Below are 16,777 nucleotides of genomic sequence, written 5' to 3'. Positions count from 1 at the left end.
TTGTGTTCTTTACTTAAATTCTAGTTGTCTGATGATCCATGTCCAGTAGAATCCAAGAAAACAAAACGAGCAGGAGAAATGTGTGCCTTCAATAAAGTTTTAGCCCACTTCGTCGCTATGTGTGATACAAATATGCCATTTGTAGGACTTCGGTTGGAGGTAAGTTTTTTGGAACAGTTCTGGATACCCCAAATGAAAGAGTAGTTTTTAAAATGTGTTGCTGAGGGTATATATAGATTCCATTAGGAAAAGCAGAATGTTTGTGATCCTGTTCATTTTGGGAGGAGTGGTAGGGTTACAATCATAGCATCTAATGGTATACATGTAAAACATGACTTGAATTATTTCATCTCTCTGATTCCAGATTCTGGGTCTTCTGCTCTTTATGGAAATTGAATGTAAAATTTTCCCAGTTAAAAAAAGTGGACAGGGCTGGGCACGGTGGCTCACACCTGTAATCCCAGCACTTTGGGAGGCCGAGGCGGGTGGATCACTTGAGGTCAGGAGTTTGAGTCCAGCCTGGCCAACATGGTAAAACTTTGTCTCTACTAAAAATACAAAAATTATCCGGGTGTGGTGGCACACGCCTGTAATCCCAGCTACTTGGGAGGCTGAAGCAGGAGAACTACTTGAACCCAGGAGGTATAGGTTGCAGTGAGTCAAGATTGCACCACTGCACTCCAGCCTGGGCAACAAAGCAAGACTCTGTCTCCAAAAAAAAAAAAAAAAAAAAAGATTAAAAGAAAAAGTGGACAGGCTGAGTGCAGTGACTGATGCCTGTAATCCCAGCACTTTGGGAGGCCAAGGTGGAAGGATTGCTTGAGCTTAGGAGTTCAAGACCAGCCTGGGCAACATAGCAAGACCTTGTCTCTTTTAAAAAAATTAAAGAAAAGCAAGTGGACAGTTTTTAAGAATTAACATTTTACTTTTATACCTCTTAGTAGGAGCATTGTTTAAGCCTATTAGAGATGGTTAGTTGATAGCCAGGTGGCTTATTTTTGAGTTGGTAAAGCCATGTATATTGATTAAGCCCTAGTAAAACCGGGATCCTTTCTAAGAAGCAGATCAGAAAGAATATTAAACTAAATTTTTACTTTTCTCACATGGGAGAAGCAATAGATTTATGCAGAATTAGTGCCTTGAAAGAATACGCAGTTGTGATATCCAATATAATCCTCAAACGTGAAAGGGAGGTAACAGACCTGCACTTTTTGTATTTCCAAAAAGGAGTTTGGCCAAGGATGGGTAGCCCCTCAAAAGTGATACACTAAAACCCCAGTTATTTCCCTGTAGGTTAAAGTTTTATGTTTTGTAAGAATCCCCTCCTCTGTAAGTTATTGTGAATGAAGGAGAGACCTGGAAATGTGAAAATGGACTTTTTCAGTTGGGCTGATGATGATGGCCTTGGGAAGATTTGTTGAAAATAGCTTTCATGCTTTAGAACAGGGATTGGGAAACTTTTTCTGTAAAGAGCCAAATATAAATATTTTAGACTTTGTCGGTCAAGTGGTCTCTGTTATAGCTACTCAAATCTGCTGTTGTAGTGTGAACCAGCCAGAGCTGATATTTAAACAAATGAGCATGGCTGTGTTACGGTAAAAAACTTCATTTACAAAAACAGGCAGTGGGCCGGGCACGGTGACTCATGCCTGTAGTCCCAGCACTTTGGGAGGCCGAGGTGGGCAGATCACCTGAGGTCAGGAATTTGAGACCAACCTGGCCAACATGGTGAAACCCCGTCTCTACTAAAAATACAAAACTTAGTCAGGCATGGTAGCGGGCGCCTGTAATCCCAGCTACTCGGGAGGCTGAGGCAGGAGAATTGCTTGAACCTGGGAGGCGGAGGTTGCAGTGAGCCAAGATCAAGCCACTCCAGCCTGGGTGACAGAGCGAGACTCCTTCTCAAAACAAACAAACAAAAAAACCAGGCAGTGGGCTGGATTTGGCTCATGAGCTGTTGTTTGCCAACTCCTGCTTTACAGGAATTTGGGATCTGTAGGCAGAGGATAAGGTGTGAAATTGTAAAGAGCCCAGAGAGAAACCCAAGCCTAGAAACAGGCACCTAAAATAAATACTCATGTCCTTGATGACCCAGCTCCTAGAACTGTGAGCCTGATGAATGTCCTCTTATCTGGATACTGGCCTTAGCTCCTAAACTGTGGAGTGTGTCCATGTTTCCTATGTAATTGACTGTGTTCTTGGACTCTTTTATTGTGTTATTTGGATTGATTATATGAATATCATTCAGTTACTACCTTTGCAGTGGGAAGGGAAGATGGATATGTGGTGCTGAGGCAAAGCAATGCATTTATATCCTCTCTTCCCCTACCCACAGGCCAGAATTGGCAAAAATGTGTGTCTTTGTAGGCCTACGTAGGTTAATGACTGTAGACATACGTCCTCTCTGTCCACCTTCTCTGTATTCCTATACCTGCTGCACATATGGGACACAGATGAACATTCTGTAGTTCTCTATTGAACTCAGTCAAGCTCTTAAAAACTTACCTACTTTTTATTCTCAGTGAACATTCTAGCTATGTTAAAGATAAAAGCAAGTATATTTTCTGCTTAAAGTAATTTAGGCTGAGATGTGAATAACTAAAACTAAATCTCATCTTATAAGGGATGTTTATATATCTTTTTTTTTTTTGAAATGGAGTTTCACTCTTGTCACCCAGGCTGGAGTGCAATGGCGCAATCTTGGCTTACTGCAACCTCCACCTCCCTGATTCAAGCGATTCTCCTGCCTCAGCCTCCCAAGTAGCTGAGATTACAGGCATACACCACCACACCCAGCTAATTTTTGTATTAGTAGAGACGGGGTTTTACCATGTTGGCTAGGCTCGTCTTGAACTCCTGACCTCAGGTGATCCAACTGCCTCGGCCTCCCAAAGTGCTGGGATTACAGGTGTGAGCCACCGCATCTGGCCGGATGTTTATATATCTGATTGATAGAATAGCAGCAACATTTTTGAGCTGGCCCACACTTCATTTCCTTTTGAATCTGAACCCCTACTTCCTATTTGGTAGCAGCTATTTTTCTAAACCTTTCCCTTTCCCAGGCCCAAAGAGCAGGGCTCACTCAAATACCTGGAACTTCCTTAAATCCTTTCCAGAACATGGTAGATATAAATAGTCTGTCATGCAAGACCTGGGAATATCTGCCAAAGGCAAGCATTTCTTTAGATCAGATGACTTTCTGGCATACTGTAATTACTTGCAGTCCCATGGAAAGGGTTTCAGGCACTATCTCTGCATTTATCTTTTTAATTTGCTTTCTGAATCCTTTAATTGGGAAAGAGATGTCATTGGGTAAATGCACAAATTGGAAATCTTTTCTTGGGTTTCACATAGGAAGTAGTTTAATTCTTAAAAATGTATTTCAGAAATGTTGTAAACTAAAAAATATCATTTAGAAATAAGCTATGACAGTGACTCAAACATTGTTTTGAACAAACAGAAGAGAATTACACGAGAAACCATTCTTGTGGCCTCTTGAACTACTAAAATTGATTCTAGATTACTTTTGGCTCCCTGCAAAAATTAGACTAATCTCCTAAATTTTGAATATTTGCCACTTGTGGAGGTGTTTCTTAAACTAGATGCACTGGGACAGCTTTGAGTTCCACTGGACTTCATGTCGTTTCCCAGGGAATCTAATGATGGGGATAATACTCATGCCTAATATGTTGTAACTTGGGGAAAGGATGGTCCTAGAACAGGTGCCACAAGAATAGAGACCGTAGTACTTAGAAATGGTAGTTGTTTTTGTAAAATTGGTCGTCTGATATAATTGTTTTTCTCTTTCTAGTTGTCCAATCTGGAGATTCCACATCAAGGAGTGCAAGTGGAAGGTGATGGCTTCAGCCATGCAATTCGCTTATTAAAGTAAGCCCCTGTCATATGTTTCACTTGGTGCCACATGTTGCAGTCACACTCTGAAAGCTGCTTCTCTTTCATGAGACAACATAAAGCAGTGTTCAGAACCTGTGGGTGTTGTGGATTTCTGCATAGAGTTACTAGGGTCTGGGGGAAGATTCCTTTAATCTATGGAGTGGCAATCCAGCATCACTTGGTTTTGTTTTTTTTGTTGTTTGTTTGTTTGCTTGTTTTGAGACAGAGTCTCATTCTGTTGCTCAGGTTGACTGGAGTGCAGTGGCATGATCTTGGCTCACTGCAGCCTCCCAACCTCTGCCTCCTAGGTTCAAGCAATTCTCGTGCCTCAACCTCCCGAGTAGCTGGGACTACAGGCACACACCACGACGCCCAGCTAGTTTTTGTGTATTTTTAATAGAGACGGGGTTTCACCATGTTGACCAGGCTGGTCTCGAACTCCTGGCCTCAAGTGATCCACCCACCTCGGCCTCCCAAAGTGTTGGGATTACAGGCATAAGCCACTGCACCTGGCCTCACTTGGTATTTTTGGATGTCTTTTCTCTGCATTTCTTTGATTCGTTCAGCAGATATGCATTGAGTGTGACTGTGTGTCAGGCTTGAATTCTGACATCCCCTCAGAATGCTGTGGGTTCATAAAGCAGAGGAATATGGGCTAGTTCAGAAGTCAGGAAGGGTATCCCTGAGGAAGTACCAGTTATACTTGGACTGAAGGAGAGGTGAGAATTAGTCAGAGGAAAGTGGGGCAGAGGCAGTGGGAGGTCCTAACCAGAGGGATAACTGCTAATGTGAAGGCTTGGAGGGAAGAGAGAGCTTGGCATTTTTGTGCTGAAAGGAGTTCGGCATGGCAGGAGATGGGAGAAATGAGGCTGGAAATGTACGCAGGAAGGGGTCACATCCTTTAGGCCTATGTAAATGTCCTTCAACAATTTAGGCTTTATCCTAATGGCACTAAGAAGCTATCAGATGATTTTAAGCTAAAACTGACATCATTAGATAGGTGTTTTTGAAAGCTCAACCTGATAGCAATATGGAGAATAAATTGAATGGGAACAAGACTAAAGTAATGAAACCACTTGTTGAAGTGGTTCACATTAGAGTTGTTGGTAGCTCAGAGTAGGGTACGTTCCACAAGGAGTTAGGAGAGAAAATATTCACGAGTTATGATTAGATTGGTGTTGAAGGTGAGAAAGAGGGGAAAGTGGCAAAGATGATTCTTGGTTTTATCTTGGGCAAATGATGGATGGTGGCAGTGTTTTCTGAGATCAGGGACACCAAAGATGTGAGTTTGAATGGACTTTGCTAAGTTTAAGGTGCCTGAATACCCTTTGGGCAGGCAGAGATGTGTTTCAAGCTCAGGTAACAGATCTGGGAAGGAGAAGTAGATAAAGTCATCACCATGGTGATAGTAATTGAGCTGGGGTAGTAAATTAGATCACCAGGAAAGAGTATACAGAAGGAGATGGGCATAGGGCTTAAGTTCTAATGGACAAAGGACGAGGAGCCAAAAGATGCTTAGAAGTAAAGCTAATGTGGTACATGTGCTTTAAAAGTGACCCAGTATGGACTTGCAAAGCCAGAATACCATCTAAGAGATCAACCTTTTTGGTCCAGGAAACAGGTTTCTTTGCAAAGGAGGGGTACACTTTATTGTTTCCCAGATGTTGCTTAATGATATAAATTATATAAGCAATTTTTATTTATTGAATTCCTCTGTCTGCTAAGACATAGCAGCTCTGCAATTTGAGCAGTGGGGCTTTACCATTTGTTATCTAGGAATCTGTTTCCGTGGAAGGTAGATAGAGCTAGCAAATAGTGTCACATAACCCATGTGTCATTAGTGCTCACTTTAGATACTACAGAATTGAACTAGAATAGTTCCTCTTCCTGGCTATCTTAACAACATTTCCACAAAAACGTTTTCAGGAGAGAGAGAGCTAGTCTTAAAATGGAAATCAGTAGGAAAATGCAATACTTCCAATTGCATTTGGTTTTGAATTGCTTTGCCTTGAATATAGGTTTTTTTTTTCTTTTTACTCTTCTAGGCACCTGTAGATAAGTTGATAATGTTAACATTTGCATTCTATTCTCTTAGTTGTATTTTTCATGGTTTGTGAAATTTTAAAAATATCTTGTTCTCGGCATTTTTACAAGAGAAATTTCAGTCTCCTTTCTTCTTGAACTCAAGAGAATGCGTAAGAGTCCTACCTAGGAAGGAAGTACTTTATATTTTTTAGCTTCATTTTATAATAATTCTTAAAGTCTTTAATCTTGGCTTTTGTTTTCTTTATTTTAAAATGTAAAGGAAAATATACATAAACGGATATGTTAAAGATGACTGTTGGTCCAGTAAGTGCTGTCCATTATTGGGGTAGGGTATAGAAGTGAAGAAGAAAAAAATGTAAATAATAAATGTCTCAACATGATTTTATTAAAATCCTATATAGACCTAATGAGTATGGAATTGGACTCATGCATTTATTCTTTAGAAACTCTTGTAACAAGCTTTTAGTTCTGGATATATTAATATTGAATATGAATATGAGTTGATACTTCAAAGCTTTAAAATTGGCACACTTTCCTTCTCTTTGCCAAAAATACATTCTGTTCTTGTTCTACTTTATCCCCTTGAAAATTTGTTAAGCAGGCCTCCTTGATGCATCTCTGCAATCATAGTATCAAATGGATCATAGTAAATTTCTTTGATTGCTATGATTCATGGACCTGTTGCCTTGTGCAAATTCAAGAGCCTTGATCCTATAACCCAAATTAGGATTGGGACACAAGTTTTGAGAGAGCAGCATGCTCATGGTGCCTAGTTTTGAACGCTTCAGCAAACTTCCCACCTTCTCGTTGAACTCATGTCACAGTCATGTGCAGTAGTAAAGGTCCTCTGGCCACACCCACGAGGGTTTTTCATTTCCTCCATTTTGTTTCTTTGCCTCCTGTAGCTTATGCTGATAATGCACAGGCACAGCTCTTTTTTTGCAAGTTGTGCAGCCCAGCTTGTCCTTCATACACGTGTGCAATCTTTATAAAAACCTCTTCACTTTCCTTTTAGGCACACTCATGCTGCTTTTGCTAGCACTGTCAGTGATCTCCCTGGTTTTGCACTGCAGGGCCATAGTGGGGTTAATGATGTTTGTAAAAGCCCTCACAACAAAGCTGACACACATCTGCCAGACCTTAAAAGACCATAGCCTGGCTCCTCAATTTGTTTAGTACTGAGAAGTACAGGAGAAAAGTTGGTTAGGAGCAGCTGTGTAAATCAAACATTTTTGAATTGGTAAAAATTTTCAGATAGGTTAATCCATTGTCCAGAAAATACCTTCCTCGGTTCTTAATTTTTAGGTACTATAATAGTATTTTGCAGTATTTTAAGTTTGTAACAATTTTGTCAGGTTTCCTTTTGGGGAACCTGGTTTCGGGTTGTTGCTTTTTTCCCCTCACATGATCATGCTGGGAAGATAAAAGTTACAGTTTATTTTTATTCATTCTGTTCCATTCATAACCTTAAAAGCAAGTAACTATTTTACGAATTCCTTGAGGTAGAGCTCATTGTATCTGCATCACAGATTAAAGTGATATACAGTGCACTTTCAGGGTTCCGCTGTCCCTAAGAGCATAAATGGGAAAAGAGGCTTACACTGATGTTAGTTCTCACTTGAACACATGCTGGCTTCTGTGCTTTCCTTTTCTAACTAGATAGATTTTGTGAAAAACCTGTTTTATTTGAAAGGAAGATAATGTACTGCATTTATATTTTCAAACTTGAGATTTAAAAAATCTGTCTGAATTGGCTGCTTTATAACTCCTACGGAGAGGGCTATGTCGTGAGGGGTAAGGGCAGGCAAGTCCTCAGTATACCTGTCACGTTGAAGAACGGATAGGTAGTTTATGCAATTTCTGTAATAACTACCCAAAATACAGTTGCACAAAATCTTTCTGGCAGTGATAAAAAGTATGTAGTGTGAAAGATTAACTTTTGAAAAACTTCAAAAGCTGTATATTGAAGAGGAGCTGTGATAGAAGTTTTAATTAGCACATGCAATCTATTTTTTGCTCTCTTAAGTTGTTTATTCCAGGTCAGTGGTTCTCAACCCCAGGGCAGTTTTGCCCTGCAGGGGACTTCTGGCAATGTCTGCAGATGTTTTTGATCATTAACTGAGAAGAGGGAGTAGGAAGTGCTACTGGCACCTAGTAGGTAGAGGCCTGGGCTGCACAAGACAGCCCCCTCACCCCGCAACAAAGGATTTTCCAGCCCCAAATGCCAATCCTGCCAAGACTGAGAAACTTTGTTATATTCTGAATTAAGGGGTCTGAACCAAGATTCTCTAATTCCAATTATATTTGTTGTTTTTTTGCCTCAATATAAATATTTATTATACCAAATCTGAGAATTAACCACCTTCTGTATGAGTTAAAGGTTATATATAATTAAGTAATCTCATTATTTCATCTCACTGAAATAACTCATGAATAGCTAAAATATATTACCTCATCATGTTTTATGACCAATGAGATAGTTTGTAAAACGGTAGAAGGAAAATGGATAGGTAGGTATTTTAAGACACCAAGCTACTACATTCCTCTTGTATATGTGATGTATGTGTGACAATATGTATGTTAAATGAGTTAACACATGTAAAGCTCTATGAAAATAAGAGTTACCTCTACAGAGGAGGAGGTGGCAAAGTGGGGATAATGAACCTGGAATTTTATCATGGTTATTCAGTCAGTGACCAAGATTTGGTTTTACTGCAAGGGAGAATTAACATACATGGGGCCAGGCTTGGTGGTGTGCACCTGTAATTCTAGCTACTCGGGAGGCTGAGGTGGGAGGATCGCTCAGGAGTTCAAGGCTAGCCTGGGCAACACAGCAAGACAACATCTCTTAAAAAACAAAACATATGAATACTTGCTGTGTCAGCCACCATAAGCACTTTCATTTTCTTCGTCAATGACACATAAGGTAATTCTTCATCTCTATTTTGTAGCTGGGAAATTCAGAGACATTAAATGTGGCTGAGTCAGAGTTAGAATGTGGGTCTCTGACTCCAAGGCCCTTATTCTTTGTACTATATCATTCTGTCTTCAAAGAGTGGTTTTATAAGGATTTGGTCCCCTTAGCTTTTCCTTGAGGATGTTCTAGATAGATTTTGTAGAAAACCAGTATTCTTGATTTTCATTCTGTAGAATTGTAGTCTTTTTTAAAGAACAAAATTATGAATAAAGACAAGCATCACTGTTAAAATGAGAGTTCTAATCCATATTGATGTGAATGGAAATGGATTAAATACTATTAATTGCTGTGAATTGCTTCCTCCTTTTGCAGAAGGTATCTAGAAGTGGAGTTTGAACTGAAGCTGTAATGTCATACCTTGTCTGTCATTGTGTACATTGTGCTTTGTCTGTGTAAAGTATACTTCATATGCTGTCTTTTATCACCAGAATTCCTCCCTGTAAGGGTATAACTGAGGAAACCCAAAAGGCTCTGGACCGCTCTCTTCTTGATTGCACTTTCCGATTACAAGGTAGAAATAACCGCACTTGGGTAGCAGAGTTAGTGTTTGCAAATTGTCCACTTAATGGCACTTCTACTAGGGAGCAAGGTGAGATGTTTCACACATTTTGTCTTTGCATATTTCTGGATTTTTTTGGTATCGATTACTATTAATATTCTCTTTTAATCCTGTAGGACCATCCCGGCACGTTTACCTGACATATGAAAATCTGTTGTCTGAGCCTGTTGGTGGTAGAAAGGTGGTTGAAATGTTTCTTAATGACTGGAATAGCATTGCACGATTATATGAGTGTGTGTTGGAATTTGCACGTTCTCTACCAGGTACGTGTGGAGATAATCTCCTTTTTAAATAAATTAAAAAAAAAAAGCCCTCACCCTTTTTTTAACTGAAGTGAAACATGCACAGTGTTCCAAGCAAAAAAATCAAAGTATATCTAATAAAACTTAAGTATTCCTTTCACTTCAGACTTCAATTTCCTTCCCCTAAAGACAACCACTGTTAAGTTTCTTTTGTTTGCAAAAATTTTACACACAGGTATACCATATCATAATAATAGTGCTTATTTACTGTGTGGCATACAATATTATAAACAGTTTGCTTGTGTTAACAAATGAGTTTTCACAATCTTCACAATCACAATCATGAGGGTAGGTATTATTCCTCATTTTACAGAAGAAAACAAGTTGCAGAGACTAAGAACTTTGCATAAAGTCCCATAGCTAGTGAGTGGCAGAGTTGGAATTGGAACCCTCTAACCACTATGCTAGACTGCTTCAGTATATCTCACCTACCCTTGCCCCCTTTTGTAGAAACGGAAGCATATTATCTGTTTGTGCTGTTGCTTTTTTTAAAAAACTAAATTACTTAACTAGAGACCTGTCTGGGCATATAATATTGCCAAAATGCCCTGTTACTCAAATTTATATTTTAAAATTTTACATGTATAATATTAATCTCCTTTTTGTTTCCTTCTGTTTAGACATACCTGCTCATCTAAATATTTTCTCAGAAGTTCGTGTTTATAATTACCGAAAACTTATCTTGTGTTATGGAACCACCAAGGGAAGCTCAGTAAGTCTGATTAAAATGCTGAAGTTCCTGTCTTATGAATCTTAAAAATCAAGAATTAAAAAAACATGAAAATTACCTTAATATAAGTAAGAGCTCAAGTAAAAGTTAGGGATAAAATGGTAAATTTTAAATGCTTTGTGGCTATAAATATAGTATACTATAATGCTTAACTCTTTAAAATTGAAAACAAAAATAATACCCTATGATGGGGTATATAATCTTGAAGCAATTTGGACAAGGTAATGTACTGATGGTGTTTGTATTTTTTTCTTCACTGATTACAGATTTGCTTGGCAATGTGATTATTGTAAGGAAAATTGTGTATGAGTGGTTATAACAATATGGTATGTTTTTGCTTTTGGTCACATGAATGTTAACATTATTTCATCTTAACTTAATCTTGAAGTATTTCCTGTAATCTATAGTTCTTTATTTTTTTTCCCACCTCATATGTAAAGTCCTAGAAATGTAGTATAAAAATGCAGCCAGCTGGTTTCTCTCTAGACTTCTACGTCAAGTAATGTCAGGTTACTTGAGCTTTTTAAAATCTGTTAACCAAGTGTATCTGTGTCCAGAGTGGCGCCCTTCCCCTTTATGACAGTGCTCCTTAGTTGATGGTACCAAAAGTGTGACTCTTCTTCAGTTCAAGAGAAAAACGAAAAGAAACACTAATGATAATTTTCAAATAAAGTTTAATAAAGTTGTTTTAGCGCCTTTCTGTTTTATTTAGTAAAAGAGGACTAACACATGGTCAGGGAGTGTACTGTTCAATATTAACAGCACATCTGGAGTTCGAATCCAGTCTTATTTTATTGCTTGTTTTCCAAAAAAAAATTCCATTTAGATTTTTGGCGTTTTGCCTTACTTTTAACATTTTTTTTTTCTCCTACTTGAATCTGTTACTTTCTCAGTTTCTGAAACATGTAATCTTTTTTATTTAGATTAGTATCCAATGGAATTCGATCCATCAAAAATTCCACATTTCTTTGGGAACTGTTGGCCCAAACTCAGGTTGCAGTAACTGTCACAATACCATTCTCCATCAGCTTCAAGAAATGTTCAACAAAACACCAAATGTGGTTCAGTTATTACAGGTAATTAAGTTTATTTTCTGTCTAAAAATAAGACTTAGTATGCCAGCCGTGCTGGTTCACACCTGTAATCCCAACCCTTTGGGAGGCCGAGGCGGAAGGATTGCTTGTGCTCAGGAGTTCAAGACCAGCTTGGGCAATGTGGCAAAACCCTGTCTCTACAAAAATACAAAAATTAGTCAGTTGTGGCGATGCACGCCTGTAGTCCCAGCTACTTGGGAGGCTGAAGTGGGAGGATCACCTGAGCCTGGGGAGGTCAAGGCTGCAGTGAGCGGTGATTGTGCCACTGTACTCCAGCCTGGGTGTCGGAATGAGACCCTGTCTCAAAAAACAAACAAACAAAAAACAGCATTTAGTGTCTCAGGCAAAACTCTTCAAAAGATCATGGGGACTTGTCTTTAATGACTAAGGCTGATAATTTTGTCTTTTATATCTTGAACACTTCTTTGAGAATTTTCTTTGATTCAGTGTGGACCCAGTGATCTAGTTTGCATTCTCTTCAAGGGGAAGTTTTATGGAATGTGCCAGAAGGACGTTGTTTCATTTTTGACAGTTATACACTGAAAATTCTGAGGTTTTAACATTTGTACAGAAACTGGCTGCTCTCACTGTGTTTGTTCCTTATAGGTACTGTTTGATACTCAGGCTCCATTAAATGCCATCAACAAACTCCCCACTGTGCCGATGTTGGGCTTGACCCAGAGAACCAATACTGCCTACCAGTGCTTCTCCATTCTGCCACAGTCGTCCACCCACATCAGACTGGCCTTCAGGAACATGTATTGCATTGATATATACTGCCGGAGTCGAGGTGTTGTGGCAATACGGGATGGTGCCTATAGTCTTTTTGATAACAGCAAACTAGTTGAAGGTTTCTATCCTGCACCAGGACTAAAGGTAACAGACTTTAGTGTTATAACATGAGTAAACATAAAAATTATCTCTAAAATAGTTTCTTTGAGGGGGAAATAATGGGGAAAAGCAACAAATTCCTGTTTAAATTTAGTAAGTAGCAGTGTTAACTCATCATCTGTATAACGTCATTCTGAAGGAGCTAGAAGTTCTGATAAAGTGTTGTGCTTATGTGTATGAGATGATTAAAAGTATTTTTCTTTATATTCTTACCTTCTGATCAGTAGGGTGAAGATACTAAAAACAATTTGTGTTTGGTCTTTGGAACTTTAAAAGTAGTTTTTATCATTGATTTTTGAAAAGGTTTGGTCATCAATTCTACTGTGATGCTTATTTATTTATGAGACAGAGTCTCACTCTGTCACCCAGGCTGGAGTGCAGCGGCACAATCTTGGCTCACTGCAACTTCAGCCATGTGGGTTCAAGTGCCTCTCCTGCCTCAGCCTCCCCAGTAGCTGAGATTATAGGCATGCACCACCACACCTGGCTAATTTTTGTATTTTTAGTAGAGATGGGGTTTCACTATGTTGGCCTGGCTGGTCTTGAACTCCTGACCTCAGGTGATCCACCTGCCTCAGCCTCCCAAAGTGCTGGGATTACAGGCGTGATGTAATCTGTGCCTGGCCTGATGCATTTAAAAAATGTAAGGTCCTGGGACCCTCCCAAAGTGCTAGAATCACAGTAACCTGTGCCTGGCCTGATGCTTTTTAAAAATGTAAGGTCCTGGACCACAACTGCCAGAGTGGTTAACTGATGTGATAGCTCAGTTGTATGTGTTTTTAGTCTAGAGTCAAATAAATCTAAAAGGCTTGATTTGAAAAATAGTCTCCTGCAACCCACTCTTGTCATTTTCTTGCTCCCCAGATGCCTTGTTTTCAGTTCTTATGTAGCTGATTCTCTTGGTATTTATATCTTTATCTCTAAGTAGAATGCCTACATTGCTATTTGTTTACTTTTTGGTTGAGGGCATTATCTGATTCTCACAATGGAAGATGAGTATTCTTTTTTCTATTTTTTTTTTCTGTTTTTCTTTTCTTTTTTTGGAGACAGGGTCTCGTTCTGTCCTCCTGGCTGGAGTGCAGTGGCATGATCATGGCTCACTGCAGCCTCAACCACCAGGGCTAAATCCATCCTCCCACCTCAGCGTCCCCAGTAGTTGGGACCACACCCGGATAATTTTTGTATTTTTTGTAGAGATGGGGTTTCTTCTTGTTGCCCAGGCTTTAATTCTTATTAAATTTTTTTTTATGTGTGCTTTCCCCCTTCCAGGCTGCTCTCAGTGCATAAACACATTTGTCTTTCCTCCTATCTTTGTAACATGGTTAGGTAGCAATTTTGATTAGATTATTTTTCAGCATTTGTGCAGTTATGAATATGTAAGCGCTGCTGCAACCAAGCTTACTATGATTATTTTTCCTGTCTTGCTCAACATTTTATTTTATTGGGAATTATTAATTGGGTCTTTTTTGGTTTCGCTTTCTCTGTAGTACCTATCACTAATTAACCTTAAACTCTTCTCCTAGTTATGTAACTCCTTTTAGTATGTTCAAACATATCAAGATAACTTATTGATTTCATCTTGAAGAAATCTCTTCAATAGGCCTCTGACCTGCTCCAATTTGGACTGATAGCAGTCTGGGCTTTCTACACAGTGTTCACTTAAGAATCTGCAAAAGGATGAAAGGGGAGATTCCTTCATTTCTCTTTTATGTTGCACATTGCATGCCTTGTGTGGTGGGCGCCTTGTTTTTTTTCTTGGTTTACTTCATTGTTTTGATTACTGGGAGAAGGTACATGGGGGGTGGGGAATTAATTTGAAATCACATATGCCTGAAAGCATCTTTAGTTTACCCTCATCTAACTGAAGTGGCTAGATAAAGAACTCTAGGTTGCAATCATTGTCTGTAAAAATTTTGAAGGTACTACTTCATTGTCTCCTGGCTTCCATTGTGACTATTGAGATGTGTAATGAGTTCACACTGTTGAACATTATGTGACTTGAGTGGGCTCTTTCTGTCTGAAAACTTAATATCCTTTTGCTTTGGGAAATTTCCTTGCACTATTTCTTGGTTCATCTCCATTGTTTTCTCTGTTAGCTCGTTCGAGTACTCCTAATGTTCTGATGCTAGGCATTGTGGACTTGTCCTCCAATTTTCTTATTTCTTTTGTTTTTTTGTCTCTTTTTTCTGGGAGATACCTCACTTTTTTCCTCTAATCCCTCTATTTTTTATTTCTACCAATATTTTATTTTGGCCATTCTTTAAAAAATTTTTTCAAAAGGTTTTTTTTGTTTCTAAATGTTTATTTTAAACATTCTATTATATGGCAACATTACTTTTTCTTTTTATCCTACATAATCTCTATTTTATTCACCTTGCTTTTGTGTGTGGGGGGGTGTGGTATTGATTTCTTTTATATTAGTGTCTTTCCTCAAATGTTAAGCGATTCTTAACTCTCTGCTCTTATTTAAAGGTAAGACTTATTGACTGTGGTCTTCATTGCAGGATGATCTCCTTGGGCCATTTCTTTGGGAAACTCCCGATATCAGTAGCTTTAGGTCTTTTTGTTGGGCTGGTGTGAGTACCAAGACAGGAGTATCCAAATCTTCTGCATAGATGGTATGCATCTTGCTTTCAATATTGGGAAAGTCAAATGAAAAAACGAGTATTCTCAAATTTATGTAGACTTTGATCCCCATTTTTTATATAGTAGTCCTTCTCTGAGTTGGTCTTTGGCATCCCTCAAGTCAGAGATCCTCCTCCATGGTGGAAGAGATAACCGAGCTCAGTGAGAATAGCAGAGGATCTGGGAGGGTCTAAGTGTCTCTTAGACTTTCACTTAGTCCTTCTGTTATTAGTCCCACTTTTATCCCCACTTCCAAAGGTACCCATATTAGTCTGTTTTCACATTGCTGTAAAGATACTACCCAAGACTGGGTAATTTATAAAGGAAAGAGGTTTAATTGACTCACAGTTCCACGAGCTTAACAGAAAGAACGGCTAGGAGGCCTCAGGAAATTTACAATCGTGGTGGAAGGTAAAGGGGAAGCAAGCACGCCTTACATGGCTGCAGGGGAGAAGCGTGAGAGCAGGGGAAACTGCTACTTATAAAACCATCAGATCTGGTGAGAACTCACTATCACAACAGCATGGGGGGAACTGTCCCCATAATCCAATCAATCGGTCCCTCTCTCAACACGGGGATTACAATTCGATTACAATTCAAGATGAGATTCGGGTGGGGACACAGAGCCAAACCATATCAGTGCCTGATACTGCCAGTTCCAAAGTATCTCAGGGATCTGGATGGAAATAGCTTGCTTCTTGGCTTTTCCCACAGCTTACTTAGGATACAACTTTCTCACATTGGATGGTTCTAGTTGCTACTCAGCCATCTGCTTTGCAGCCTCCCGGATGTATTGCTGTTTCTTCTCTTCTCCTATTCTTTTTGTCTTTGTTACTTATTGCTTCAAAAAATTCTTTCCAGTAGTTTAGTGGGGAAAGAATGCAATGTGTGTTGTGAGCCCATCATCTTTAATTAAAAGTAGACTGTAGACTTCTTTTTTGAGACAGGGTCTCACTCTGTCGCCCAGGCTGGAGCGCAGTGGTGGGATCACGGCTCACTGCAGCCTCAACTTCCCGGGCTCAAGCAGTCCTCCCATCTTAGCCTCCCTAGTAGCTGGATCCACAGGTGTGCACCACCATGCCTGGCTGATTTTTCTATTTTTTGTAGAGATGAGGTTTTGCCATTATTGCCCAGGTTGGTCTCGCAAGGGATCCTCCCATCTTGGCCTCCCAAAGTGCTGCGATTATAGGCATGAGCCACCATGCTCAGCCCACTATGGACTATTAATAGCTCTCTAGTGATTCTGATAAGCTTATGATTCAAATATGTGTATATTCGAATACTGGGGATGTGAGGAGTGTTAAAGAGAATCTGTGCTTGAAACACAAACTCTGATAGCTTTGCTCAGTTTTGACAATATGTAAAACAAGGCTGTCCCACTCTTAATGGTTCAAGATTAAATTATATAATATAAAAAAGGAAAAAATTGGATCGTTTCTTACTCAGTTTTCCTTTCATATTTTCTAGTTTAAAAAGTGAGATGGCTCACTAGCTGGGAAATTTTCCAAGTCATTGAAGTTATGGCCAATATGCTTTTCATTTTTTACCCCCATTTCTGGATTAGAAGTTAATAAGAAAATATTATGATCTGATGGTAAGAGGTGCCAGGATGTACTTCTTTCTTCAACTTTTTGCTCACACAATATTTCTTAGTCAATA

The 16,777-nt window shown here is 39.2% G+C and overlaps 1 protein-coding gene across 9 annotated transcripts in view, besides 2 other annotated features; it reads left to right on the top strand.

Moving 5' to 3' along the window:
- Nucleotides 1–16,777, top strand: part of MED14 (mediator complex subunit 14) — an 87,855-nt gene that overhangs the window by 43,818 nt on the left and 27,260 nt on the right. For all 9 annotated transcript variants that reach the window (XM_047442636.1, XM_047442638.1, XM_047442643.1 and 6 more), the window contains 7 exons: nucleotides 25–159; nucleotides 3,812–3,888; nucleotides 9,346–9,506; nucleotides 9,593–9,739; nucleotides 10,399–10,490; nucleotides 11,432–11,584; nucleotides 12,209–12,478. In XM_047442636.1, coding sequence (XP_047298592.1) covers nucleotides 25–159; nucleotides 3,812–3,888; nucleotides 9,346–9,506; nucleotides 9,593–9,739; nucleotides 10,399–10,490; nucleotides 11,432–11,584; nucleotides 12,209–12,478 — 1,035 coding nt within the window. The remainder of the gene's footprint in view (nucleotides 1–24; nucleotides 160–3,811; nucleotides 3,889–9,345; nucleotides 9,507–9,592; nucleotides 9,740–10,398; nucleotides 10,491–11,431; nucleotides 11,585–12,208; nucleotides 12,479–16,777) is intronic.
- Nucleotides 13,531–13,741: a silencer, noted in NCBI's record as "fragment chrX:40537853-40538063 (GRCh37/hg19 assembly coordinates)". NCBI's record gives its function as "represses an EF-1alpha promoter that drives an FKBP-Casp9 reporter gene in an ReSE screen in K562 erythroleukemia cells {active_cell/tissue: K562}" and the evidence as "EXISTENCE:reporter gene assay evidence [ECO:0000049][PMID:32094911]".
- Nucleotides 16,085–16,236: a silencer, noted in NCBI's record as "fragment chrX:40535358-40535509 (GRCh37/hg19 assembly coordinates)". NCBI's record gives its function as "represses an EF-1alpha promoter that drives an FKBP-Casp9 reporter gene in an ReSE screen in HepG2 liver carcinoma cells {active_cell/tissue: HepG2}" and the evidence as "EXISTENCE:reporter gene assay evidence [ECO:0000049][PMID:32094911]".

The sequence above is a fragment of the Homo sapiens genome, chromosome X (genome assembly GCF_000001405.40).
Source record: "Homo sapiens chromosome X, GRCh38.p14 Primary Assembly".
Taxonomy (NCBI): Eukaryota; Metazoa; Chordata; class Mammalia; order Primates; family Hominidae; genus Homo; species Homo sapiens.
The sequence above is the reverse complement of the archived record's forward strand: the minus strand, read 5'-3'. Positions and strand labels throughout refer to the sequence as shown.